General features: G+C 49.1%; 1 protein-coding gene across 4 annotated transcripts, besides 4 other annotated features; it reads left to right on the forward strand.

Annotated features, from left to right (window-relative positions):
- Window positions 949-1,088: a silencer, noted in NCBI's record as "silent region_12759". NCBI's record gives its function as "represses an Ori minimal core promoter by ATAC-STARR-seq in GM12878 lymphoblastoid cells {active_cell/tissue: GM12878}" and the evidence as "EXISTENCE:reporter gene assay evidence [ECO:0000049][PMID:35858748]".
- On the forward strand, window positions 1,028-8,122 carry COX4I2 (cytochrome c oxidase subunit 4I2). 4 transcript variants are annotated; one of them, NM_032609.3, is made up of 5 exons: window positions 1,028-1,078; window positions 2,134-2,215; window positions 3,049-3,213; window positions 6,520-6,651; window positions 7,884-8,122. In NM_032609.3, the coding sequence occupies exons 2-5, from the start codon at window positions 2,134-2,136 to the stop codon at window positions 8,018-8,020; spliced, it is 516 nt and encodes a 171-aa protein (NP_115998.2). In that variant the 5' UTR covers window positions 1,028-1,078; the 3' UTR covers window positions 8,021-8,122. The 4 variants fall into 4 exon arrangements, with proteins under 4 accessions (NP_115998.2, XP_005260638.1, XP_005260637.1 ...); XM_005260581.4 differs by lacking the exon at window positions 6,520-6,651; XM_005260579.5 differs by lacking the exons at window positions 1,028-1,078; window positions 2,134-2,215 and adding an exon at window positions 2,238-2,396.
- Window positions 11,389-11,589: a silencer, noted in NCBI's record as "peak4185 fragment used in MPRA reporter construct". NCBI's record gives its function as "represses an SCP1 promoter by STARR-seq MPRAs in K562 erythroleukemia cells {active_cell/tissue: K562}" and the evidence as "EXISTENCE:reporter gene assay evidence [ECO:0000049][PMID:32103011]".
- Window positions 24,464-25,191: an enhancer, noted in NCBI's record as "H3K27ac-H3K4me1 hESC enhancer chr20:30249151-30249878 (GRCh37/hg19 assembly coordinates)". NCBI's record gives its function as "activates a minimal SCP1, AML or CMV promoter by ChIP-STARR-seq in naive H9 embryonic stem cells {active_cell/tissue: H9 hESC(naive)}" and the evidence as "EXISTENCE:reporter gene assay evidence [ECO:0000049][PMID:30033119]".
- Window positions 24,769-24,958: a silencer, noted in NCBI's record as "silent region_12760". NCBI's record gives its function as "represses an Ori minimal core promoter by ATAC-STARR-seq in GM12878 lymphoblastoid cells {active_cell/tissue: GM12878}" and the evidence as "EXISTENCE:reporter gene assay evidence [ECO:0000049][PMID:35858748]".

The following is a 26,256-nucleotide window of genomic DNA, read 5'->3' on the forward strand; positions in this document are numbered from 1 at the left end:
ATGATCTGCCCCCCTTGGCCTCCCAAAGTGCTGGGAATTTTTTTTTTCTTTTTCTTTTTCTTTTTTTCTGAGACAGAGTCTTGTTCTGTTGCCCAGGCTGGAGTGCAGTGGCCCGATCTCGGCTCACTGCAACAGCCGCTTCCCAGGTTCAAGTGATTCTCCTGCCTCAGCCCTCTGTGAAGCTGGGACTATAGGTGCGCGCCACCACGCCCTGCTAACTTTTTTTTTTTTTTTTTTTTTTTTTGAGATGGAGTCTAGCTCTGCTGCCCAGGCTAGAGTGCAGTAGCCGGATCTCGACTCACCGCAACCTCCGCCTCCCGGGTTCAAGCGATTCTCCTGCCTCAGCCTCCTGAGTAGCTGGGATTACAGGTGCGTGCCACCACGCCCAGCTAATTTTTGTATTCTTAGTAAAGATGGGGTTTCACCATGTTGGCTAAGCTGTCTCAAACTCCTGACCTCGTGATTTGCCTGCCTTGGCCTCCCAAAGCGCTGAGATTACAGGCATGAGCCACCGCGCCCGCCCAATTTTTCTATTTTTAATAGAGAAGGTGTTTCGCCATGCTGGGCAGGCTGGTCTCAAACTCCTGACCTCAGGTGATCCTCCCGCCTCGGCCTCCCAAAGTGCTAGGATTACAGGCGTGAGCCACTGCTGGCCTAAAAGATGCTTCTGGAGTAGGAGGCATTGGGCCTGGCTGGAAGGTTTGCGTCTGCAAAGGCCTGAAGAGAACATCCCAGGTGGGAGAAACAGCAAGGAGGGGAGGTGTGGAGGAGGCAGGGAGACCCTGTTCTTGGGACTACTGTCTGCAGAGGGTCTCCAGAGGCAGGACCCCGGTAGGGACACTGATGCAGGAGGCGCTCTGCAGTGCCTCCCCCCAATCTGTGGGCCGGGGTGCCCCCAGGGACGCAGGCTGTGCGCTCCCACGCCCTGCCGAAGCAGGACGTTCCCACGCTGGGGCGGCCCCGAGAAAGGCTGTGGGGCGGGCCGGGGGCGGGCGCCCGCACTCAGGTCCCTCCGCAGCGGGTTCTCAGTTGCTCGCTGGGCAGACCCAGGTCGCGCTCCCACTGCCGAGCCCGCGAGGTGAGTGAGTTGGGGGAGGACCCCGCCACCCAAGCCCGCGCGGGTCAGGGGCGCGGCTCGGTCTCCTGCCTTCGCCGCTGGGTCACGCCCCAGTGGTCCCTGTCTTAGAGGGTTGGGGGGCTTCTTGTAGGTTAGAGTTGAAGACTCCTGGGGAGTCTGCATATGTGTGCCATCTCTTTCCCCAAATATAGATTACATCCTCCCTCTCTTGATATGTGGAGCTCTCCCACCCACTAATCATAATCACTGGCCGGAGCCCCTCTTTTCCAGAAGTGTGGGCCGCCCCCTCCCACTTATCACCTGTAGTGTGCCCCCTCCCTCACTCTATTTGTTGGGTGCCCCTCTCTCTCCCTAGATGTGGGACTCCCCTTCTTTTCCCCAGATGTGTGTCTCCCTCCCTCTGACCCAGTTAAGTCCCCATCCTCTAAAGCCCCTCCCCACCACCATGGATGCCAAACCCTGAGTCTTCCCTGGGGGTGGGAGACTGGGCTCAGCCAGACTGGCTAAGCCCAGTCCCCACCCCAACCAGATCCAGCAGAGCAGGCCTGTGTGCACGTAGGCAGCCAATTAGGGGGGAAGGGGTGGGGGCCAGACCGTCTGTCTGTTCTGCCGGTGCAGGGGCCTCTGGCCCCTGCAGGGAAGAGAGACTCAAGAACTGCTCCCTCTCCACCTGGACCCCACCCAGCTTCCTCTGGGGAGCAAACAAGTGAGCGGGGTTCTCCAATCTGGCCAGACTGAGCTGGGGCTGGCACCAGAACCCAAGCCCTCAGCCTCAAACTCTTCAGACCCTGGCCCAAGACTTAGGCCTCCTCCCACTTCTCAGATGGTGAATTGAGGTCCCAAAAAGGGGCTTCAAAGGTCTAGGACCCCCATTGGCCCCCCGCTGGGGATATCAGACAAAATTAGAAGGGTCAAGGGCATGAGGGTGACCTTGAAACACTGGGACACCCCTACCACTACCATACCAGTGGAAAAGGATTTTTCCATCTGGCCCTGCGGTTTGGGGGCAGAGGGTGATGTGGGGGCAGAACTCATCTATACCTTCACGCCCCCAGATGCTCCCCAGAGCTGCCTGGAGCTTGGTGCTGAGGAAAGGTGGAGGTGGAAGACGAGGGATGCACAGCTCAGAAGGCACCAGTGAGACCTGGACTCCTTCCTCCCTGCCTAACTCCAGAGATAGGGGCAGGGGTCCCCTCTGCAGGCTGCCCCCTTTGCCCTTCCATGCCACCCTGGGCCTGTTCCTACCACACTTCCCATGTTCCCATGATCCCACTCCTTGGTCCAAGGTCAAGTTTCTCCAGGAAATGGAGTGCGCGGGGTGAGCAGACAGTGGTCATCTCCATTCCAAGCTTCCTTAGGAGCCAGCCCCCAAGCCTCAGGCCCCTAGACCTTTTGTTCTGAGGTGGAGGATGCTGACAGAACCTTGGACCCTGATTCCTCCTTTCCAGACCCTAGTTTCAATGCTAGTAAGAAGAAAGAGACCTAAAGTAGGAGAGACTTCAGCCAGATAGCAGAAGGGCCTTGCTGACCCATGGAGAATAACAAAGATAACATTTATTGAGCCCTTACTAGTACCCCAAGCTATTATAAACCTCCTTTTTTTTTTTTTTTGAGATAGAGTCTTGCTCTGTCGCTCAGGCTAGAGTGTTCAGTGGCGCAATGTCGGCTCACTGCAACCTCCGCCTCCTGGGTTCAAACAATTCTCCTGACTCAGCCTCCCGAGTAGCTGGGATTATAGGTGCCCACCACTGCGCCCGGCTAATTTTTGTATTTTTAGTAGAGGAGAGGTTTTACTGTCTTGGCCAGGCTGGTCTCGAACTCCTGACCTCGTGATCCACCCGCCTCAGCCTCCCAAAATGCTAGGATTACAGGCATGAGCCACCAAGCCCGGCCACCTTCTTTATTAATATAGTTAGAGATAGGGTGTCCCAAGGGCAGCCTGGACTCAGCTCCCTCCATTGTGTCTGCAGCCCGTGGTGGGGGGAAGATGTCCCCCTACACCAACTGCTATGCCCAGCGCTACTACCCCATGCCAGAAGAGCCCTTCTGCACAGAACTCAACGCTGAGGAGCAGGCCCTGAAGGAGAAGGAGAAGGGAAGCTGGACCCAGCTGACCCACGCCGAAAAGGTGGCCTGTAAGTGTCAGGGTGGGGCTGGCTGGAGAGAGTGGGTTGGGGGCTGACTTTGGAAAGAATGGCCTGTCAGGGATCAGAGGGCAGAGAGAGGCCCCCAAGACAGCCAGAAACCTCCAAACACCTGAGGGGTGAAGTTCATGCCTTTGTTCGTTTCTTTATTCACTCACCTGTTTGTGCATAGCCTGATGCTAGGCAATGCTGGGGACATGAGGTGAATCACCTGGATAGTTCCTGCCCCCATGGTGCCCCCGGTCCCGTGGGGAAAACCAATACAGACTCCAATAATTGTAATACAGAACATGTGGCTAGGGTGAGGTGTGTTCAAGGACTGTGAGATGAAATCTTGGTGGACCTCCCAGAGGAGGGCACATTCCAGCTGGCCTTTAAGGGTGAAGAGGAGGGCACTGCCAGGGAGTGGGAACTGCATGGGGAAGGGTGTCAGAGCAGGAGACTGTGGAGGGCCCTGGAATTGAGTGATGTGGGGGAGATGGGACAGAGAGAGGCAGGTGAGGCGGTTGGGGAGGAGCCCTCTGACCCTGGGAGGCTGGAGGGATGTGTGGTCCCTTGTCATGTCCACCAGAGCATCCCTGAGCTGACCCTTTGAAATTTGGAGCACCTTATTTTCATTCCATGAATGGGAACACTCAGCCTGACCTCCAAGATTTCAAGGGATTCCTAGTGGGGAAAGGTTCATGCTTCTCACATTCATTCATTCAGTCAACATCTTATTTGGCACCTACTACAATACCATGCACTGGGAATGCAGCTGTGAGCCAGCCAGGCTCCGTTCCTGCCTGTGAGCTTGCATTTCCAGCCCTCTCTCAGCACCTTTACCCCTTCTCTCTCTCTCTCTTTCTACACACACACACACACACACACACACACACACACACACACATCTTGGTTTTTTCTTCATCCATTTCAGAAATTGACACTCTTGGGGGGAGAGGGGAGGAATAGCATTAGGAGATATACCTAATTCTAAATGATGAGTTAATGGGTGTAGCACACCAACATGGCACATGTATACATATGTAACAAACCACATGTACCCTAAAACTTAAAGTATAATAATAATAAAATTTAAAAAAAAAAGAGAAATTGACACTCTTTATCTGAGCATGGTGGCACATGCCTGTCGTCCCAGCTATTTGGGAGGCTGAGGCAGGAGGATCACTTGAGCCCAGGGGAGCTGAGGCTAGAGTGAGCTGTGATTGTGCTACGGCATTGCACTCCAGCCTGGGTAACAAAGTGAGACCCTGTCTGAAAAAAAAAAAAAAAAAGAGAGAGAGAGAAAGAAATGATGGACATTCCCCAAGCAAGATGATAATGAGCACCATCCCTAATATGTCCTGCACGCTTACATGTAGCAGGCACCGCTGTGGCGTTAGGTTGCTCTCGTTAGCTCACATTTGAGAGACTGAGGCTCAGTGGCGTGCAGTCACTTACAGTGGTTGCACAGCTAGAGAGTGGTGGAGGCAAGATTTGAAACCACATAGACAGGCACCAGGGGTTTCACCCTTAGCTGCTACACCACATTAGCTACAATGAAGGTTTGGTGGGATGCTTGGGGAGTTTCAGTGTAACCTCACAGCTCAAACAACTTTTTTTTTTTCCTTTTCTTTGAGACAGGGTCTCTGTCACCCAGGCTGGAGTGCAGTGGCCCCATCTCGGCTCACTGAAATCTCTGCCTCCTGGGCTCAAGCGATCCTCCCACTTTGGCCTCCTGAGTAGCTGGGACTACAGGCGGGCGCCACCACACCTGGCTATTTTTTTTTTTGTATTTTTTTTGTAGAGACAGGGTTTCACCATGTTGGCCAGACTGGTCTCGAACTCCTGATCTCATGATCCACCCACCTCAGCCTCCCAAAGTGCTGGGATTACAGGGGTGAGCTACCATGCCCGGCTATTTATTTATTTATTTATATTTCTGTAGAGACAGAGCAGTCTCACTATGGTTGCTCAGGCTGGTCTTGAACTCCTGGGCTCAAGCAATTCTCCTGCCTCGGCCTCCCAAAGCACTGGGATTACAGGCATGAGCCATCATGCCAGGCCAAATGCCTTGAGTCTTGTCAGACCTCTTCCAGGGCAGGCAGGCGTGGCAGCACTGGAGTGCATGGCCTGTGTCTATGCATGGCTCTACCACAGCCACACTGAGTGGCCTCCACTGGTTGATTTCATTGTCTCAGCCTGAACCGCCCACCCAAGTATCTTCCCAAAACCTAAGACAGTTCCCTTTTCCCAAGGAATTCTGCTGCCAGCTTTGATTTTCCTTTAGATATTTATTTTCATATTTATTTAATGTACTGAGAAAGGATTACACACGTAGGGTAATTTTTTTTTTTTTTTTTTTTTTTTTTGAGACAGAGTCTCGCTCTGTCGCCTAGGCTGGAGTGCAGTGGCATGATCTCGGCTCACTGCAACCTCCGCCTCCCGGGTTCACGCCATTCTCCTGCCTCAGCCTCTCGAGTAGCTGGGACTACAGGTGCCCGCCACCACTCCTGGCTAATTTTTGTATTTTTAGTAGAGACGGGGTTTCACTGTGTTAGCCAGGATGGTCTCGATCTCCTGACCTCGTGATCCACCACCTCGGCCTCCCAAAGTGCTGGGATTACAGGCGTGAGCCACTGCGCCCGGACTTACCTGGCTAATTTTTAAATTTTTTCTAGAGACAGGGTCTCGCTTTATTGCCTAGGATGGTCTTGAACTCTTGGACTGAAGCAATCCACCCGTCTTGGTCTCCCAAAATTCTAGGATTACAGGCATGAGCCACCAAGCCTGGCCCCCTCCCTAATTCTGTTAGAATGAAATCCAAACTCTTCTCCATGGATTCTAACAAGGTCCTGTGTGAACCGGCTCTGCCTCTCATTTGAGAGAGCCAGCCTCTCATTTGCTAAATTCTCTCTCTTTTGCTCATTTCACTCCAGCTACAGTGGTCCTCACTTCACACTTTCCCTACCCACTTCCTGCTTCAGGGTTTTTGCACTTCCTTCCAGTTTTCACCAACTTTCTCCCATTGATTTTTCAAACCTCAGCTCCAATGTCACCTCCTCTGAGACACCTTCCCTGGCCAGCCAACTGTTTGCCTGAAGCATTTGCCATTGTCTCCCCCTCTAAACTCCACAAGGGCAGGGATTTTCATCTGGCTCATTCACTGCTGTCACCTGTTCCTGGTCATGCTGTGCATATAGTACGTGCTCAGTAAGAATTTGCTGAATGAACAGCATCTGCTGCAGGGAGGGGGAAGCCGGGATCACTTAGAGTGGACGCACCTGAGGCCCCTTCCCCACACCCAACTGCCTCCAGTGTACCGGCTCCAGTTCAATGAGACCTTTGCGGAGATGAACCGTCGCTCCAATGAGTGGAAGACAGTGATGGGTTGTGTCTTCTTCTTCATTGGATTCGCAGCTCTGGTGATTTGGTGGCAGCGGGTCTACGGTGAGTGGCAACACCTCATCTGGCTGCAGTCCTGGGCCATGCCCTTGTGGTCACGGCCACCAGACAGTTTCTTAAAGGAACCATGCTGGCACTCATCTGAAGAGCTGAAAATTTCTGAAGAGGTGTAGGGTGAAGGACAGAGCATGGCTGTCTAGGTTTGAATGCAGGAACTTTACCTCTCTGGGCCTCAGTTTCGTCATCTCTAAAATGGGAATAGTAATGTTCCATCTCAGGGTACTTAAGAGGATTTTAATGAGAGAGGGCTGTAGGCCAGTGTTTGGCTCATAGTCATGAATGGTGTTGTAACTGATTGTTGTGTATGAACTGTGTGTTTTTCAGTGTATATATATACTGAACTTCTGCCTCCCCAGTTCAAATGATTCCCCTGCCTCAGCCTCCCGAGTAGCTGGGACTACAAGAGTGTGCCACCACGCCCGGCTAATTTTTGTATTTTTAGTAGAGACAGGGTTTCGCCATGTTGGCCAGGCTGGTCTCAAACTCCTGACCTCAAGTGATCCGCCTGCCTCGTCCTCCCAAAGTGCTGGGATTACAGGCATGAGCCACTGTGCCCGGTGGCCTGTCCCCATATTTTTAAAGTGAACACTCTTACCTACTTCCTACTTTCAACCCTCTTAGAAAGTAAAAGGAATTATTTCATCCTGGACCCTGCCCAGCAAGTGGGAACAAACTCAGTAATTATATAATTATAGTAGGTAACATGTATCAGGTGCTTAATATTTGTCTAACATTGTGCCAACAGCTTTGGAAATACTCAGTCCCCACAATCCTAGTGGATAGGACCTCTTTTGACAGGTAAGGAAACTGAGGCTCAGAGAGATGAAGTGACTTGTTGAAGGTCGCAGGGCAAGGGAGTGGTAGAGCCAGGATTTGGATTCAGGCAGTCTTCAAATCAGTGATCTTATTACCACAGACCACAGAGGTAGGTGAGGTGACTGAGTTGTGAAGGACCTTGGCCCAGCTCCCACAGTCCTTGGGGTCTAAGGCAAAGCTGGGGTCAGAACCCAGAGGTGCCTGGGACGATGCTCTAGGAGAAAGTCTGGGGTGCGGGGCTAGACAGGGTGGAGTGAGCTCCTCAGTGCAAGATACTTCAACCCTGGAGTATCTTGTACCGTCAGCCTTGCGAGTGGCTGGGAGGCTACAGGGTGGCTGGAGACCCTGGCTGGTGTAGGAAGACTGGCAGGATCCTGATCCACCCCATGTACTCCCTGCAGTATTTCCTCCAAAGCCGATCACCTTGACGGACGAGCGGAAAGCCCAGCAGCTGCAGCGCATGCTGGACATGAAGGTGAATCCTGTGCAGGGCCTGGCCTCCCGCTGGGACTATGAGAAGAAGCAGTGGAAGAAGTGACTTGCATCCCCAGCTGTCTCCCTGAGGCTCCGCCCTGGCTGGGAGCCTCTGGCGGCCCCTCCCCTCCCCTGCCCTTAACCCCAGTAAAGCTCCAAAAAAAAATTTATTCTCTTCTGCCTCTCACCACCACTTCAGACTTTACTTGGCACCTAAAATTAGGCATTTTAACAGGTGAGGGGCAAGAAGGGCTCAGAACTCATCTAGTCAATGAGGGCTTCCTGGAGGAGTGGGGGCTACAGCCAAGGCTTAGGTGGGATTAGGAAAGGCAAGAAGAAGGGAAGGCATTCGGGGTGGAGCAAGTGGCTTAATCAAAGGTGAGAACACTCTTTTATTCAGCTAATTAACAAATACTTGGCCGGGTGCGATGGCTCACTCCTGTAACCCCAGCACTTTGGGAGGCCAAGGAGGGCGGATCACTTGAGGTCAGGAGTTCAAGACCAGCCTGGCCAACATGGTGAAAGCCCCATCTCTACTAAAAATACAAAAAATTAGCTGGGCTACTTTTACACCCAGCTAATTTTTGTATTTTTTTTTTTTTTTTTTGAGACGGAGTCTCGCTCTGTCGCCCAGGCTGGAGTGCAGTGGCACGATCTTGGCTTACTGCAAGCTCCGCCTCCCGGGTTCATACCATTCTCCTGCCTCAGCCTCCCACGTAGCTGGGACTACAGGCGCCTGCCACCACGCCCGGCTACTTTTTTGTATTTTTAGTAGAGACGGGGTTTCACCGTGTTAGCCAGGATGGTCTTGATCTCCTGACCTTGTGATCTGCCCGCCTCGGCCTCCCAAAGTGCTGGGATTACAGGCGTGAGCCATGGTGCCCAGCCTAGTTTTTTCTATTTTTAGTAGAGACAGGGTTTCACCACGCTGGCCAGGCTCGTCTTGAACTCCTGACCTCATGATCTGCCCGCCTTGACCTCCCAGAGTGCTGGGATTACAGGCATGAGCCACCACGCCCGGCCTTTTTTATTGGTAGAGACAGGGCTCCACTATGTTGCCCAGGCTGGTCTCGAACTCCTGGCTTCAAGTGATCCTCCTGCCTCAGCCTCTCAAAGCGCTGGGGGATTTTATTCTAAGTGTGATGGGAAGCTGTGTCCATTTGGGTTCTTTGAGAAGCAAATGCCAAGAAGGAATTAACCATGTGAAGAGATTTATTGGGGGTGATGCCTGTGAGAGATAAAGGAGAGAGGAAGCAGGAGTAGGTTGGGAGAATCTTCAGACTGTGGTGCAGATCTGACACCTGTGGAAGAAAAGAAGGGAAGAAAGGAGAGTTGCATAGGAACAGCCTCAGACTTCAGGGCCTCTGGATCATTCTGAGTCCCATCAGGAGACAGAAACCACAAAGCAATTTAAACGGGTTGTTTAATATAAAAAAATTATTAATCTTACACAGGAAAGTAACCATAAAGATGCGAAGGCCGGGTGTGGTGGCTCATGCCTGTAATCTCAGCACTTTGGGAGGCTGAGGTGGGCAGATCACCTGAGATCAGGAGTTGAAGACCAGCCTGGCCAACATGGAAACCCTGTCTCTACTAAAAATACAAAAATTAGCCGGGCATAGTGGCACACACCTGTAATCCCAGCTACTCAGGAGGCTGAGGCAGGAGAATTGCTTGAACCTGGGGGACGGAGGCTGCAATAAGCCAAGATTGCGCCACTGCACTCTAGCCTGAGCAACAGAGCAAGACCTTGTCTCAAAAATAAATAAATAAATAGGCAAAGGCCAAGCACAGTGGCTCACGCCTGTAATCCCAGCACTTTGGGAGGCCGCAGCGGGTGGATTACCTAAATTGCGAGTTTGAGACCAGCCAGACCAACATGGAGAAACCCCGTCTTTACTAAAACTACAAAATTAGCCAGGCGTGGTGGCGCATGCCTTTAATCCCAGCTACTCGGGAGGCTGAGGCAGGAGAATCACTTGAACCCGGGAGGTGAAGTTTGCAGTGAGCCAAGATCACGACATTGCACTCCAGTCTGGGCAACAAGAGGGAAACTCTGTCTCAAAAAAAAAAAGAAGGCACAGAGACCTTTAAAAGGTACCCAAGGAGAGTCCCCAAGGAAAGATAAACTTGATAAACTTGGAAGGGGGTGCCCTCCCCAAGTGAGGCTCAGACCTCACTGGAGAAGGTGTGGTTGGTTGCAGCCCACTGGATGGCGAGAAGTTGGGTGGCTTGCCTACGGCCAAAGCTGGTCCATAGTCCCCTGCGTAAGCAGGAATAACCCTCAGAGGGCTAAGGGAGCTGAGACTGGTGGGCGGGTGGAATTGGGGCACATTTGCAGATGTGAGGCCTAAAGCTTGAGGCATCTGCATCAGGAGGATTGCTGGAAGATGGTCCCCGGGCCTGAAGCCTGCAATGTTGCTATAGGCTATGCACACTGGGCTCATGGCTGGGGCAGATCACCACTAAATGTCCTCACCACACTGCTAAGCAACCAAAAAACAGGAGCAAGAACAGCGCGTGCACACACACACACACAAACCTCCTCTCCTCCTGAAAGTCTCTTCTAGCACTGACTACTTGCAAAGCTCAGCATCTCACTGTCAAGGAGTTCAGTTCATCTCCAGTGTGCAGAGCAGAGTGCATTTGGAGCTGAGCAGTAATACATTGATAACTGGCCCAGCATCTTTCAGAAAGTCTTGGCTAGGCCAGTGGGAAGTCCCAGAGCAGTAATGCCCGCTAGAGGAGTCCTGTATTGGGCAAAATTAATGCATCCCTAGTGTATTAGGGTTCTCTAGAGGGATAGAACTAATAGGATAGATGTATCTATGAAAGGGAGTTCATTAAGGAGAATTTATTCACACGACCACAACGGGAAGTCCCACAGTAGGCCATCGGCAAGCTGAGGAGAAGCCAGTCTGAGTCCCAAAACCTCAAAAGTAAGGAGGACGATAGTGCAGCCTTTAGTCTGGCTGAAGGCCTGAGAGCCCCTGGCAAATCACTGGTGTAAGTCTAAGAGTCCAAAAGCTGAAGTCTGATGAAAAACTTGGAGTCTGATGTTCGAGGGCAGGAAGCACCCAGCATGGGAGAAAGATGAGGCCAGAAGACTCAGCCAGTTTAGTACTTCCACGTTCTTATGTGTGATTATTTATTTATTTATTTATTTGAGTCGGAGTCTCTCTCTGTCTCCCAGGCTGGAGTGCAGTGCCGTGATCTCAGCTCCCTGCAACCTCTGCCCCCTAGGTTCAAGCAATTCTCCTCTCTCAGCCTTCTGAGTAGCTAGGATTACAGGCATGGGCCACCAGCCTGGCTAAGTTTTGTATTTTTAATAGAGATGGGGTTTCACCATGTTGGCCAGGCTGGTCTTGAACTCCTGACCTCAGGTGATCCGCCCACGTTGGCCTCCTAAAGTGCTGGGATTACAAGCATGAACCACCACACCCGGCCCCTCTGTCTACTTTTAACCCAGCTGTGCTGGCAGCTGATTAGATGGTACCTACCCAGATTGAGGGTGAGTCTGCCTCTCCTAGTCCACTGACTCAAACATTAATCTCCTTTGGCAACACCCTCCAAGACACACCCAGGAACAATACTTTGCATCCTTTAATCCAATCAAGTTGACATTCAATTTTTTTTTTTTTTTTTTTTTTTTTGAGATGGAATCTCGCTCTGTCACTCAGGCTGGAATGCAATGGCGCGATCTCGGCTCACTGCAACCTCTGCCTCCTGGGTTCACGCCATTCTCCTGCCTCAGCCTCCTGAGTAGCTGGGACTACAGGCGCCCACCACCAAGCCTGGCTAATTTTTTGTATTTTTAGTAGAGACGGGGTTTCACTGTGTTAGCAGGATGGTCTCGATCTCCTGACCTCGTGATCCTCCCACCTCGGCCTCCCAAAGTGCCGGGACTACAGGCATGAGCCACTGCACCCAGCTGACACTCAGTGTTAACCATCACACCTAGTAACTCCATTGTGCTCAGTCCCTGGTTGGGAGCGGCCCAGAAAGATCATGGCCTCAGCATGAACACTACAGCAGGTCTGAAAGTGTGGCAGCTGGAGGTGGTCACACAACTACCCTCTTCATAGCAGGTTCTCTTGAAGAATCTGAGTAGCACGTCTCCATAGATGCCCTAGGTGCCAAAGGAAGAATTTAGCAAAGCAGTTGTGACAACAGTCATTCAACCAACAAATATTTATTGTGGATTTTAACTTAATCAGCTATTTATTTATTTATTTATTTATTTATTTATGAGACAGAGTTTCTCTCTTGTCGTCCAGGCTGGAGTGCAGTGGTGCGATCTCGGCTCACTGCAAGCTCCGCCTCCCGGGTTCAAGGAGTTCTCCTTCGTTCAAGCAGTTCTCCTGCCTCAGCCTCCTGAGTAGCTGGGATTACAGGTGCTCACCACCACACCTGGCTAATTTTTTGTATGTTTAGTAGAGATGGGGTTTCACTATGTTGGCCAGGCTGGTCTTGAACTCCTGACCTCGTGATCCACCCGCCTCGGCCTCCCAAAATGCTGGGATTACAGGCGTGAGCCACTGTGTCCGGCTTAATCACCTCTTTTAAAAGGTCTTATCTCCAAATGCAGTCCCATTCTGAGGTGCTGGGGGTTAGAACATCCACATATGAATTTGGGGAGACACAATTGAGACCACAATAGTTGGGCTCAGGGCTAGGCACGGTGGCTCACGGCTGTAATCCCAGGATTTGGGAGGCTGAGCAGGGCAGATCACTTGAGGCCAGGAGTTCTAGACCAGCCCGGCCAACATGGAGAAACCCCATCTCTACTAAAAATACAAAAATTAGCTGGATGTGTTGGTGCACGCTTGTAATCCCAGCTACTTGGGAGGCTGAGACACAAGAATCGATTGAACCCAGAGGTGAATGTTGCAGTAAACCGAGATTGTGCCACTCCACTCCAGCCTGGGCAATAGAGCGAGACTCTGTTTCAGGAAAAAAAAAGTTGGACTGAAGGTTATTCTGTTTGTCTTTTTGTTCTGGGACCAGTGGACACCTAGGGCATGTTCTTCTCATGGCAGAAGTCTGAGACTTTGGCAGGGCAGAGGAATGGGTGGGGACACTCTTAAAGTCCAGGCCCAAAACAAGCACACACAAAACTGCACCACATTCCACTGGCCAAGGTATTCCAATTATGATTGCTGCATTACAAACCTACCTGAGACTGACTGGCATAAAACAATTATTTTACTATGTTCAGAGATTCTGTGAGTCAGGGATTTGGGCCGGGTATGGTGGAAACCCCTTGCCTCTGCTCTAGAACATCCGGGGCCTCAGCTGGAAACACTCAAGGGCTGTGACTAGGATTGGCTGGAGGTGTTTTCACTCACATATGTAGCACTTGATGCTGGGACCACAGCTGGACCTCAGATCAACTGGAACACCACTTTGTGGCTTCCCTCCATGGTCACTCTGTGTGGACTAGTTTGGTCTCCCTTAAAACATGGTAGCTGGAGGTCGGGTGAGGTGGCTTATGCCTATAATCCCTGCACTTTGGGAGGCTGAGGTAGGCAGACCATGAGGTCAATAGATCGAGACCATCCTGGCCAACACGGTGAAACCCTGTCTCTACTAAAATACAAAAATTAGCTGGGTGTGGTGGCATGTGCCTGTAGTCCCAACTAGTCGGGAGGCTGAGGCAGGAGAATCACTTGAACCCGAGAGGCGGAGGTTGCAGTGAGCCAAGATTGTACCACTGCACACCAGCCTGGAGACAGAGCGAGACTCGGTCTCAAAAACAAAAACAGTGGCTGGGTCCCAAGAGAGCGAAGGGGAAGTGCCTTGTCTTTCTTTCTTTTCTTTTCTTTTTTTTTTTTGAGACAGAGTCTTGCTCTGTTGCCCAGGCTGGAGTGCAATGGCGCCATCTCGGCTTACTGCAACCTCTGCCTCCTGGGTTCAAGCGATTCTTGTGCCTCAGCCACCCAAATAGCTGGGATTAGAGACGTGCACCACCACGCCCGGCTTTTTTGTGTGTATTTTTAGTAGAGATGGGGTTTCACCATGTTGGCCAGGCTGGTCTTGAACTCCTGACCTCAGGTGATCCGCCCGCCTTGGCCTCCCAAAGTGCTGGGATTACAAGTGTGAGCCACCGTGCCTGGCCTGCATGGTCTTTTTATGATTCAGCTTCAGAAGACAAAAAGCATCATTTCTGCTGGAGCCCAATGGTCAAGGCACTACCAAAGGTACACCCAGGTTCAAGAGGGAGAGGACATGGAGTCCACCACCCAGTAGGAGGACATCAAGATCCCATTGTAAAATGTGGTGTGCATGGGAGAAGGGAAATTTCTTCTTTTTTTTTTTTTTAATTTTATTTTAAGTTCCAGGATACATGTGCAAAACATGCAGGTTTGTTACATAGGTAAACGTGTGCCACGGTGGTTTGTTGTACCTATGAACTCATCACCTAGGTATTAAGCCCCGCGTGCATTAGCTATTTGTCCTGATGCTCTCCCTCCCCTCGCCCCCACAGGCCCTGGTGTATGTTGTTCCCCTCCCTGTGTCCATGTGTTTTCATTGTTCAGCTCCCACTTATGAGTGAGAACATGCGATGTTTGGTTTTCTGTTCCTGTGTTAGTTTGTTGAGGATGATGGCTTCCAGCTTCATCCATGTCCCTGCAAAGGACATGATCTCATTCCTCTCTTTTTGAGACCAAGCCTCGCTCTGTCACCCAGGCTGGAGTGCAGTGGAACGATCATAGCTCACTGCAGACTCGAACTCCTGGGCTCAAGGAATCCTCCCGCCTCAGCCTCCCAAAGTGCTGGGATTACAGGCATGAGCCCTGCACCTGGCCAAGAGGGAAAATTTTTGAGATCATTTTCGAAAATACAGTCTACCACCCGAGGTCAAGCCCAGTGTCGATGGACAGATAAATATCCTACAGCCAGGATGTGCATGGAGGCATGAGGAGAGAAGGCAGAATTGTGAGCAGATAATAAAATATTCTACAGATGTGGAGAAATGACCAACACAAAATGAAGTTGAAGGCTGGGTGTGGTGGCTCACACCTGTAGTCCCAACACTTTTGGAGGTTGAGGCAGGAGGACTGCCTGAGGCCAGGATTTTGAGATTAGCCTGGGCAACATAATGAGACCTATCTCATTACGGTTGTTGTTGTTGTTGTTGTTGTTGTTGTTGTTGTTGTTTGAGACGGAGTCTTGCTCTGTCGCCCAGGCTGGAGTGCAGTGGCGCAATCTCAGCTCACTGACACTTCCGCCTCCTGGGTTGAAGCTATTCTTCTGCCTCAGCCTCCTGAGTAGCTGGGATTACAGGTGCATGCCACCATGCCTGGCTAATTTTTGTATTTTTAGTAGAGACAGGGTTTCATCATGTTGGCCAGGATAGTCTCCATCTCTTGACCTCATGATCTGCCCTCTTGGCCTCCCAAAGTGCTGGGATTACAGGCATGAGCCACCACGCCTGGCTGTGTCTCAGGTCTTAAGGTCCCTAGCTGGTCAGCCTTCTTTCCACTTTTCAGAGTTTCCTTTTCTTTTTCTTTCTTTCTTTTTTTTTTGAGATGGAGTCTCACTCTGTGGCCCAGGCTGGAGTGCAATGGCATGATCTCAGCTCACTGCAACCTCTACCTCCTGGGTTCAAGCAGTTCTCATGCCTCAGCCTCCTTAGCAGCTGGGATCACAGGCATGAGCCACCATGCCTGGCTATTTTTTGTATTTTTGGTAGATACAGGGTTTTGTCATGTTGGGCAGAATGGTCTCAAACTCCTGGCCTCAAGTGATCCATCTGCCTCAGCCTCCCAAAGTGCTGGGATGACAGGCATAAGCCACCGCGCCCAGCCTGAGTTTTCTTATTCTTATTTTATATACAGTGTCAAAGGTTCTTAGTTTTACTTAGGAGGAGAAATAGGGAAAAGTACATCTGCTCCATCTTCCTGGATGTGGAAGTCCAGTGGTTCTTCCTAATATATATTAAAATATCTTTTGATATATAATCTCTCTCTCTCTCCCTACCCCTCCCTCCCCTTCCATTTCATTTGTTGAAAAAAATTGAGTCATTTGTCCTGAGGATTTCCCCCAGTCTGTATTTTGGTAATTGCAATCCCATGTGTCTCTTATTATGCCCCTCTGTCCCCGTTGTTTTCTGTAAATGGTGATTACATTTAGAAGCTTAGACTCACGCTTGATTTTTTTGGCAAGAATATTTTATGGGTGTGCTGTGTTCTCTTGGCAGGCAGCACATGACGCCTGGTTGTCTTTGTGTAGCATTAGCAGCTTTCATTGGTCATTGTGTAGATTCATTAACTTATTAGGAGTACAGATGGCTTTCAAATACATGAAAAGATGCCAACCTCAATTAGATTTTTAAAAATGAAATTTTAAAGTATGAGTACTATTTTTTCATCTACCAGATTGACAAGGATCAGAGTGTTAACACGAATGTTGGCAAGAGTGCAGAGGACAGGCGATTTCATAGGCTGCCTGATTGGACTGTATCCATCAAAATGACTAATGTATACACCCTTTGGCCCAGCAATTCTACTTTTAGGGATGTACCCTGTGGATACATGTGCATATATGCAAAATGATGGATTGCAGTATTGTTTGGATTAGCAGGAGTTAAAGCCTGGGCAACATAGTGAGACCTTGTCTCTACTACAAATAAAAAAATATTAGCCGGGCATGGTGGTGCATGCCTGTGGTCCCAGCTACTTGGGAGGCTGAGGTGGGAGGATCCTCAAATTTGGGAAGTCAAGGCTGCAGTAAGTCACGATCATGTCACTGCGCTCCAGCCTGGGCAATAGAACAGACCCTGTCTCCAAAAACAAAAACAGTAACAACAGAAGTTGAGAACTACCAAATTGTTCCACCTGGAGTGCTACAAATTATCACAACTTGTGGCAGACGCTGTGGGCAATGTGCCTGCAGGATGCTCTCTGAAGCTTTGGTGGACAGTTCTCATTAAAGGGAACAGCCACCTGTGTGTTTTTGACCAAGCATGGGGCAGGCAGGAAATGCCAAACGTCAAGGAGAAAGTCCTGAAGCAGCCCTCCTCAGCCAATGAGGGATGAGTTGGTGGATAAACACCTTGGTGTTCTTTTCCCTCAGTGATAGAATTTTGAGCAGTGTTCCACGGGTTTTTCAAAGGATGCCCTGGTGGAGGAGCCCCATTGCCTGGAGTGGCAGCTTACTCATTATTACACCCTATATTGGCTGCCTGTCCTTCCTTGTGTCACTTCCCCACTTAAATCATTTGCCCCTGAATCTTTATTCTAGGCTTTGCTTTTGGGGGAAATCTACACTAAGGCAGAGCTTGGTGGTGGTTTGGCAGCACAGTCTGATACAATTTATAGTAGTTACTATAAAAAATAGTACTTACAGCCGGGCACGGTGGCTCACACCTGTAATCCCAGCACTTTGGGAGGCCAAGGTGGGCGGATCACAAGGTCAGGAGATCGAGACCATCCTGGCTAACACGGTTAAACCCCGTCTCTACTAAAAAATACAAAAAAATTAGCCGGGCAAGGTGGCGGGCACCTGTAGTCCCAGCTCTGTGGGAGGCTGAGGCAGGAGAATGGCATGAATCCGGGAGGCGGAGCTTGCAGTGAGCCGAGATGGCACCACTGCACTCCAGCCTGAACGACAGAGAGACTCCGTCTCAAAAAAAAAAAAAAAAAAAAATAGTACTTACAGTGCCAGATACCATCCTTAAGCACTTTACGAGCATTAAACCTGTGTAACTACCTCATGAAGTAGGTATGATTAGCACCCCTATTTTTTAGGCAAAAAACTCAGGAACAGAGAGGTTACGTCACTTGTCCAAGGGCACCTGCCTCCCCTGGGCAGTCTCGTTTCAGGGTCCTGCTCCAAACCATTACACTATCCTTTCTCTGGTCCCCTGCTGCTCCACCAGCATGAGCTGAGCTTGGCCACGGTTGGCCTCTTCGTTTCTGGACCTCTACTGTAGTGGTCAGCTGTGGAGAATGGCCATCCACCTACCCTCTACAGTTTGTTTTCCAGGTGCCCAGAGAGCTTGGCACAAAGTTCAGGTAAGATTGATATACCCTTTTGGGGACAGCCAAACAGCTGCGGAGGGATGTTCCACTTCATAAATGGTTTGTAAACTACAGCCCTATCATTATTTTAATTTATTATTATTATTTTTACAGTGCAATCATAGCAGTTATTTCTGGGGGAGGTTTGTTTGTTTTTTAAGTTTTTTTTTTTGTAGGGATGGAGTCTTGGTATGTTGCCCAGGCTGGTCTCAAACTCCTGGGCTGAAGCAATCCTCCTGCGTCAGTCTCCCAAAGTGGGATTATAGGCATAAGCCACCACGTCCAGCTTTTTGTTTGTTTGTTTGTTTCGAGATGGAGTTTTTGCTCTTGTTGCCCAGGCTGGAGTGCAATGGTGTGATCTTGGCTCACTGCAACCTCCACCTCCTGGGTTCAAGTGATTCTCCTGCCTCAGCCTCCTGAGTAGCTGGGACTACAGGCACCTGCCACCACGCCCAGCTAATTTTTGTATTTTTACCAGAGACGGGGTTTCACCATGTTGGCCAGGCTGGTCTGGAACTCCTCACCTCAGGTGATCCGCCCACCTTGGCCTCCCAAAGTGCTGGGATTACAGGCATGAGCCACCATGCCTGGCTTGTTTTTTACATCAGTGCAATTAGAGCCTGACGTGGGCACTTGTTGACGTGGGTACTGGTCATTTCCTATTCAGCAACAAATTTACAAACCATCTCGTTGGCCAGGCCACTATGTTATGTTTATATTATTTTCTATTTCATATTCAGAAAAACTTTTTCTTGCTTTATGTCCACATTCTTGGTATCTTAGTATTTTAAAAATGAGTTCCTCAAATTTTAACATTGACTTGTTAACAGTTCGTAATATGGCCATTTAAATTTCATTTAAGAACTTCAAGAATTCACAAGACTCTCTATAATGAAATTATTAAAACTAATTATTTATATGTGAATTTATTGAAATGAGATGGCTTAAATAATTCAGGAGAGAATACTCAACATGGTCAGAATTCTCATGTGAGTTTGTGCATATTAATTAAAAATCAGGCCAGGCGCAGTGGCTCACGCCTGTAATACTAGCACTTGGTAGGCCAAGGCTGGCGAATCGCCTGAGGTCAGGAGTTCGAGACCAGCCTGGCCAACATGGTGAAACCCTGTCTCTAGTAAAAATACAAATTTAGCTGGGCATGGTGGCAGGCACCTGTAGTCCCAGCTACTCGGGAGGCTGAGGCAGGAGAATCACTTGAACCCAGGGGACAGAGGTTGCAGTGAGCCAGGATGCACCACTGCACTCTAGCCTGGGCGGCAGAGCGAGACTCTGTCTCAAAAAAAAAGAAAGAAAGAAATGAACATATATGATCTATATAAATGTAGGTCTTCTTTGATTTTTATTTATTTATTTTATTTTTTTCGAGATGGAGTTTTGCTCTTGTTGCCCAGGCTGGAGTGCAATGGTGTGATCTTTGCTCACTGCAACTTTTGCCTCCTGGGTTCAAGCGATCCTCCTGCCTCAGCCTCCCGAGTAGCTGGGATTACAGGCATGCACCACCACGCCTGGCTAATTTTGTGTTTTTAGTAGAGACGGGGTTTCTCCATGTTGGTCAGGCTGGTCTCGAACTCCTGACCTCAGGTGATTTGCCCACCTCTGCCTCCCAAAGTACTGGGATTACAGGCGTGAGCCACCGCACTTGGCTATGCCCAGCCATTTCTATTATTTTCTTTTTCTTTCTTTCCTTTTTTTTTTTTGAGACGGAGTTTTGCTATTGTTGCTCAGGCTGGAGTGCAATGGCGCAATCTCGGCTCACTGCAACCTCTGCCTCCTGGGTTCAAGTGATTCTCCTGCCTCAGCCTCCCGAGTAGCTGGGATTACAGATACCCACCACCATGCCCAGCTAATTTTTTTGTATTTTTAGTAGAGATGGGGTTTCACCATGTTGCCATGTTGGCCAGGCTGGTCTTGAACTCCTGACCTCGGGTGATCTGCCCGCCTTGGCTTCCCAAAGTGCTGGGATTACAGGCACGAGCCACCACGCATGGCCCATTTCTATTATTTTCTATATAGTAAGAAATAGTTCTTGTTATTTTTGCCTCATGACAAAGGCTATGATGGTAGAGATAGAAAAATAGAAAGCTGGGCATTATGTAATACATTATTTTATTGTACTTTGTGTGTGTGTGTGTGTTTTTTTTTTTTGTTTTTTGTTTTTTTTTGAGACAGCCTCTAGCTCTGTCACCCAGGCTGGGGTGCAATGGCGTGATCTTAGGTCACTGCAACTTCCACCTCCTGGGTTCAAGCGATTCTCCTGCCTCAGCCTCCAGAGTAGCTGGGATTACAGGTGCGCGCCACCACACCTAGCTAATTTTTTTTTGTATTTTTAGTAGAAATGGGATTTCACCATGTTGGCCAGGCTGGTCTCAAACTCCTGACCTCAAGTGATCTGCCCGCCTCAGCCTGTCAAAGTCTGGAATTACAGGCGAGAGCCACCGCGGCCAGTCGATTTTATTTTATTTTCTGAGTCAGGGTCTTGCTCTGTCATCCAGGCTGGAGTTCAGTGATGTGATCACAGCTCACTGCAGCCTCAACCTTCTGGTCTCAAGCGATTATCTCACCTCAGGCTCCCTATTAGCTGGGAATACAGGCACGTGCCACCATGCCCAGCTAATTTTTGTATTTTTTTGTAAAGACGGGGTTTTGCCATGTTGCCCAGGCTGGTCTGGAACTCCTGGGTTCAAACAATCTGCCCACCTCAGCCTCCCAAACTGCTGGAATTACAGGTGTGAGCCACCACACCTGGCCTATGTAATAAATTTGATCATGACATAAGTTGCTGGTTTTTCTGCGTGATTTGTCAATTTTTAAAAATTGCACAAGTGAACCAGGCACAGTGGTTCACATCTGTAATCCCTAAACTTTGGGGGGTTGAGGCAGGAGGATCATTTGAGCCCAGGAGTTCCAGACCAGCCTGGGCAACATAAGGAAACCCTGTCTCTATTTAAAAAAAAAAAACATTGCACAAGCAATACACAAAATTATTATCTTAAACTTCTATAGACCCAGAAGACTATAAAGAAGTGAAAGCTGGCTAAAAAGCTTTTTTTTTTTAAATTTAATAAATCATGAACAGGTGTTAGCTGGGCACCGTGGCTCATGCCTGTAACCCCAGCACTTTGGGAGGCCGAGGCAGGCAGATCACCGGAGGTCAGGAGTTCGAGACCAGCCTCGCTAACATAGCGAAACCCCGTTGCTACTAAAAATACAAAAATTAGCTGGACGTGGTGGCGGGCATCTGTAATCCCAGCTACTCAGGAGGCTGAGTCAGGAGAATCACTTGAACTTGGGACGTGGAGACTGTGGCGAGTCAAGATGGCACCACTGCACTCCAGCCTGGGCAACAGAGCGAGACTCCATCTCAAAAAAAAAGAAAAAAATGAACAGGTGTTGAATTTTACAAAATACTATTTTCATATCTCCTGAAATAATCATAAGCATTTTCTTTGTTAATTTTTCAATACAATAAATTACATAGATAAATTTCTTGGCTGGGTGCGGTGGCTCACGTCTGTAATTCCAGCACTTTGGGAGGCCAAGGCAGGCGGATCACTTGAGGTCAAGAGTCCAAGACCAGCCTGGCAAACATGGTGAAACCCTGTCTCTATTAAAAATACAAAAATTAGCCTGGCATGGTGGTGCATGCCTGTAATTCCAGCTACTTGGGAGGCTGAGGCAGGAGAATCACTTGAACTTTGGAGGCAGAGGTTGCAGTGAGCCAAGATGGCGCTACTGCACTCCAGCCTGGGCTACAGAGTGAGACTCCGTCTCAAAAAAAAAAAAGAAAGCAAAAAGAAAAAATTCCTATATGTAGTCAATCTTGTTTACCTGGAATAAACCCTACAGGTTGTGATATATTATTCTTTTAATATTATGTTGTTTGTTAATATTAGGTTTGGTTTATTAATATTATAACTTTGGCATACATGTTCATAAGTAATAGTGACCAATAATTCCCTTTCTTTTCCTTCCTTTCTTCCTTCTTTCCTTCTGTGTTTCCCTCACTCTCTCCCTTCTTTCCTTCCTTCCTCTCTCTTCCTTGGTGCTGTACAGCCTTGCCCAGTTTTTTTTGTTTTGTTTTGTTTTGTTTTTTGAGATGGAGTCTCCCTCTGTAACCCAGGCTGGAGTGCAGTGGCACGATCTCGGCTCACTGCAAGCTCTGCCTCCCAGGTTCATGCCATTCTCCTGCCTCAGCCTCCCGAGTAGCTGGGACTACAGGCGCCCGCCACCACGCCCAGCTAATTTTTTTGTATTTTTAGTAGAGACGGGGTTTCACCGTGTTAGCCAGGATGGTCTTGATCCCCTGACCTCGTGATCCACCTGTTTTGGCCTCCCAAAGTGCTGGGATTACAGGCGTGAGCCACTGCACCCGGCAGCCTTGCCCAGTTTTAATAACAGTTATAATGGTAAAGAAAGAAAGAAGAGTTTAAAAGATTTATATCTTTTCCTGTTTTCTGAACTCATTATTTTAAAATATTCAAAATGAAAACGTACATTTGGATTGATTTCAAATCCAACTGAATACAAGAAATATTGACATTAATTTGTCAGTTATAGAAAGGAAGAGCTATTAGAATGTTTAAATATAATTTCAATAGTAAGCTTTGGAATGGCTTACATTTTTCTCTTATTTCCTACTTGAGATTATAATGTCTCCTTTTTTCTGTTTTTTTTTTTTTTTTTTTTTTTTTTTGAGATAGAGTCTTGCTCTGTGGCCCAGGCTGGAGTGCAGTGGCACAATCTCAGCTCACTGCAACCTCTGCTTCCCTGTTTCAAGCATTTCTCCTGCCTCAGCCTCTCGAGTAGCTGGGACTACAGATGTGGGCCACCACGCCCAGCTAATTTTTGTATTTTTAGTAGAGATGGGGTTTCACCCGGGTTCAAGTGATCTCACCATGTTGCCAGGTTGGTCTCCAACTCCTGGGCCCAAGCGATCCTCCCACCTCGGCATCCCAAAGTGCTGGGATTACAGGCATAAGCCACCATGCTGAGCCCTGCGTGAGCCATTTCTTTCTTTCTTTCTCTTTTTTTTTTTTTTTTTTTTTTTGAGACGGAGTTGCGCTCTGTCACCCAGGCTGGAGTGCAGTGACACAACCTCGGCTCACTGCAACCTCCGCCTCCTGGGTTCAAGCAATTCTCCTGCCTCAGCCTCCAGAGTAGCTGGGATTACAGGCACACGCCACCACGCCACCATTCCTGGCTAATTTTTTCTGTTTTTTTTTTTTTCAGTAGAGATGGGGTTTCACCATGCTGGCCAGGCTCTGGTCTCGAACTCCTGACCTCATGATCCGCCAACCTCAGCCTCCCAAAGTGCTGGGATTACAGGCGTGAGCTACCGTGCCCGGCCGAGCCATTTCAATAATAAAACCTCATATAAAAAGTTGCATTTACAGGACCAAAGTCAAGTTTTTAAAGAAAAAATTTTAAAATATTTTATGTATTTAGATGTTTTAATCAAAGATAAAACTTCATATTTTCTCTATGAAATATATTTCATTTCTTTCATCATAAATATGTAATATATGGAAATTGAATGAGTTTTTCACCAAGAACCACATAGAGAGTCCCAAACCCCCTCCAGCTTTCCCTTTGTGCAATTCCAAGCATGTTCCATGGCAATATATAAAGTTGGGAATCACTGAGCGGTCTGGTTAAAAACTTGTGGAATACCACACAGCTAGAAAAAAAGAATAAAGTTGACATCAGTTGGTAATTGTTGAAACTGCCTGGTGAGTACATGGGGATTCATGTGTGAATATGGAAACTTCTACAAGGCTGGGCTAGGTGGCTCAAGCCTGTAATCCCAGCACTTTGGGAGGCCAAGGTGGATGGATCACCTGAGGTCGGGTAAACACAAAAATTAGCTGGGCGTGGTGTTGTGCGCCTGTAGTCACAGCTACTTGGGAGGCTGAGATAGGAGAATTGCTTGTACCCAGAAGGTGGAGATTGCAATTCTCGAACCGGGAAGGTGGAGGTTGCAGTGAGCCGAGATCATGCCACTGCACTTTCGGCTTGGGCGACAGAAGGAGACTCTGTCTCAAAGAAAAAAAAAAACCTCTACAAGATACAGTATGCAGGTGGAAAAAGCAAGGGAAAGTGTGTTTAGTATGTTACTATTTGTGTAAAAAATTAGTGGAGGATCAAAATATATATCTGTGCCAATATGTGAAAAAATGTTTCTGGGCTGGGCACAGTGGCTCACGCCTGTAATCCCAGCACTTTGGGAGGCCGGGGCCAAGTGATGGCTTGAGACCAGGAGTTCGAGACCAGCCTGGGCAACATGGCAAAACCCTGTCTCTGCAAAAATACAAAAAAATTAGCCGGGTATGGTGGCGTGCTCCTGTAGTCACAGTGGGAGGCTGAGGTGGGAGGATCACCTGAGCCCAGGAAGTCGAGGCTGCAGTGAGCTATGATCAGGCCACTGCACTCCAGCCTGGGCAACAGAGTGAGACCCTCTCTCAAAAAATAAAAAATAAATAAATAAATAAATAAAAGAGCGAGTGAAGACATTTCTGGAAGCACATGGAGAATGTGAGGAAGGGACTTGAACGGCTATGGCTAGGGGCAGGAGCTGAGGACACATCGTGGGGGAAGGCGTGAGTGGGAGGCTGGAGGCTTTGGTCTTGAACCAAACAAGATGGCGATTCTAAGCTCCAGAGAGCCCATACAAGCTCTGAATCCAGTACCTAAGGGTTGGAAGTGTAGCTGTTTTTCTGGTGAGTAGGGTAGAGGATGGAGGACATTGGGGAAAGTGGCCCCCCGGCGAGAGAGGTCGTGTGCACTGAGCGGGAGCAGCTTGAGCTGGGGCTGGCTCTCAGGTCGCATCCTGTGGCCACCAGGGGGCAGTGAAGCCCACTCCGAAAAGCGGGCGGGGCGGGGCGGGGCGGGGCGCCTGGGGCATGTCCCACCTCCAGGCCTGCCCTCCAGCTGGAGCTCCTGACCGCTTTTCCCAGACCCCTCCTGGACCGCTGGACGCGGCCACGCGGGACTCCGAGAGTGCAGCACCTCCTCTCTTCTCCTGGAGAGCCCGGGGGAATGCCGAGTCCATCCCCGCGGTCACCCTCAACATCCAGTCCTCCTCCACTGCTTCTAGGTTATCTCATTCAATTGCCCATCACACCCATTTTGTAGAGGGGAAAGCTGGGGCACAGAGAGAGTAGGTAACTCACTCACTGGAAGCCACGGCTCGAGAAATGACGACCCGGGACACAAATCTGGCTGTCCATCCTCAAAACCGGAGCATTCATGAAACCATGGCTTCCTCACTGATCTCCTTGTTTCCACTCTGCTTCCCCTCCGGAACCTTCTCCACCCATCAGCCAGAGTTTTGGGGGCTCTCGGGCTGTATCACTCCCTAACTTACCACCTTTCTCTGGCTGTCACTGCCCTCAGGATCAAGTTCAGTCCTCTCACCCCACCCTCTGTCATCATCTTAAACCCAGCAGCGCCCTCTCTCTTAGCTCTGGACACACCAGCTTTTCAGCCTGAAGACAATGCCTGCTCATCTGGTGCATTTACTGCTTCTTCCCCAGGCCCACTCTCCTGCCTCCCCACTTAATTTTAAGTTAACCGTGATGCACTCTTCAGGCCCTGGCTCTCATGTCAATTCCTCCAGGGAGCCCTCCCTGACTCCTGATTCCCAGACGAGCTCAGATCGCACTTACTATGAGTCTCTTGGGTTGCACTGGCTTCAAACATGCACTTCATTTTTGTATCTATAATGGCATCACTATTCTAAAAATCTGTCATCCTTGAGTCTCTCTGAAGCTATCTCTACTCCATCTGAAATCCTGTGGGATGTGCCTTAAAAATCTGAAGTCTGACCCCTTCTTACCTCCTTCTCTACTAAGTCCTTCATGTCTTGGTAGAAGACCAAACCGCTTCCTCATGGTCGTTGCTTTTTCCTCCTTTGCCCTTACTGGGGCTTAGAAAACAATACCCCAAAGTATGGCACTTTGGCATACCGAATACTTTGAACTAAAGGAGGCTGAAAGGCCTCAGAAACAAGATCTCTGACTTTCTCCTGCCTTGCTGTCTCCCATTTCTCTTTCTCCCCTGAAGCAAGTAACAGAAACTAGCATTCATTCCTCTTCCCCAAGGTGGGTCATAGAAACTAGAACTCCTCTCCCCAAAGCAACTCATAAAACACAGAAATATATATATATATATACACACACACATATATATACATATATATACACATATATACATATATATACACATATATATACACATATATATACACACACATACA

This window comes from Homo sapiens, chromosome 20 (assembly GCF_000001405.40).
Source record: "Homo sapiens chromosome 20, GRCh38.p14 Primary Assembly".
Lineage (NCBI taxonomy): Eukaryota > Metazoa > Chordata > Mammalia > Primates > Hominidae > Homo > Homo sapiens.

Coding starts and splice junctions, on each gene's coding strand:
- COX4I2 (XM_005260579.5), top strand. CDS start 2,300: ATGCCACCCTGGGCCTGTTCCTACCACACTTCCCATGTTCCCATGATC. Junction 2,397..3,048: donor CAGGAAATGGAGTGCGCGGG/GTGAGCAGACAG, acceptor TTGTGTCTGCAG/CCCGTGGTGGGGGGAAGATG. Junction 3,214..6,519: donor CCACGCCGAAAAGGTGGCCT/GTAAGTGTCAGG, acceptor AACTGCCTCCAG/TGTACCGGCTCCAGTTCAAT.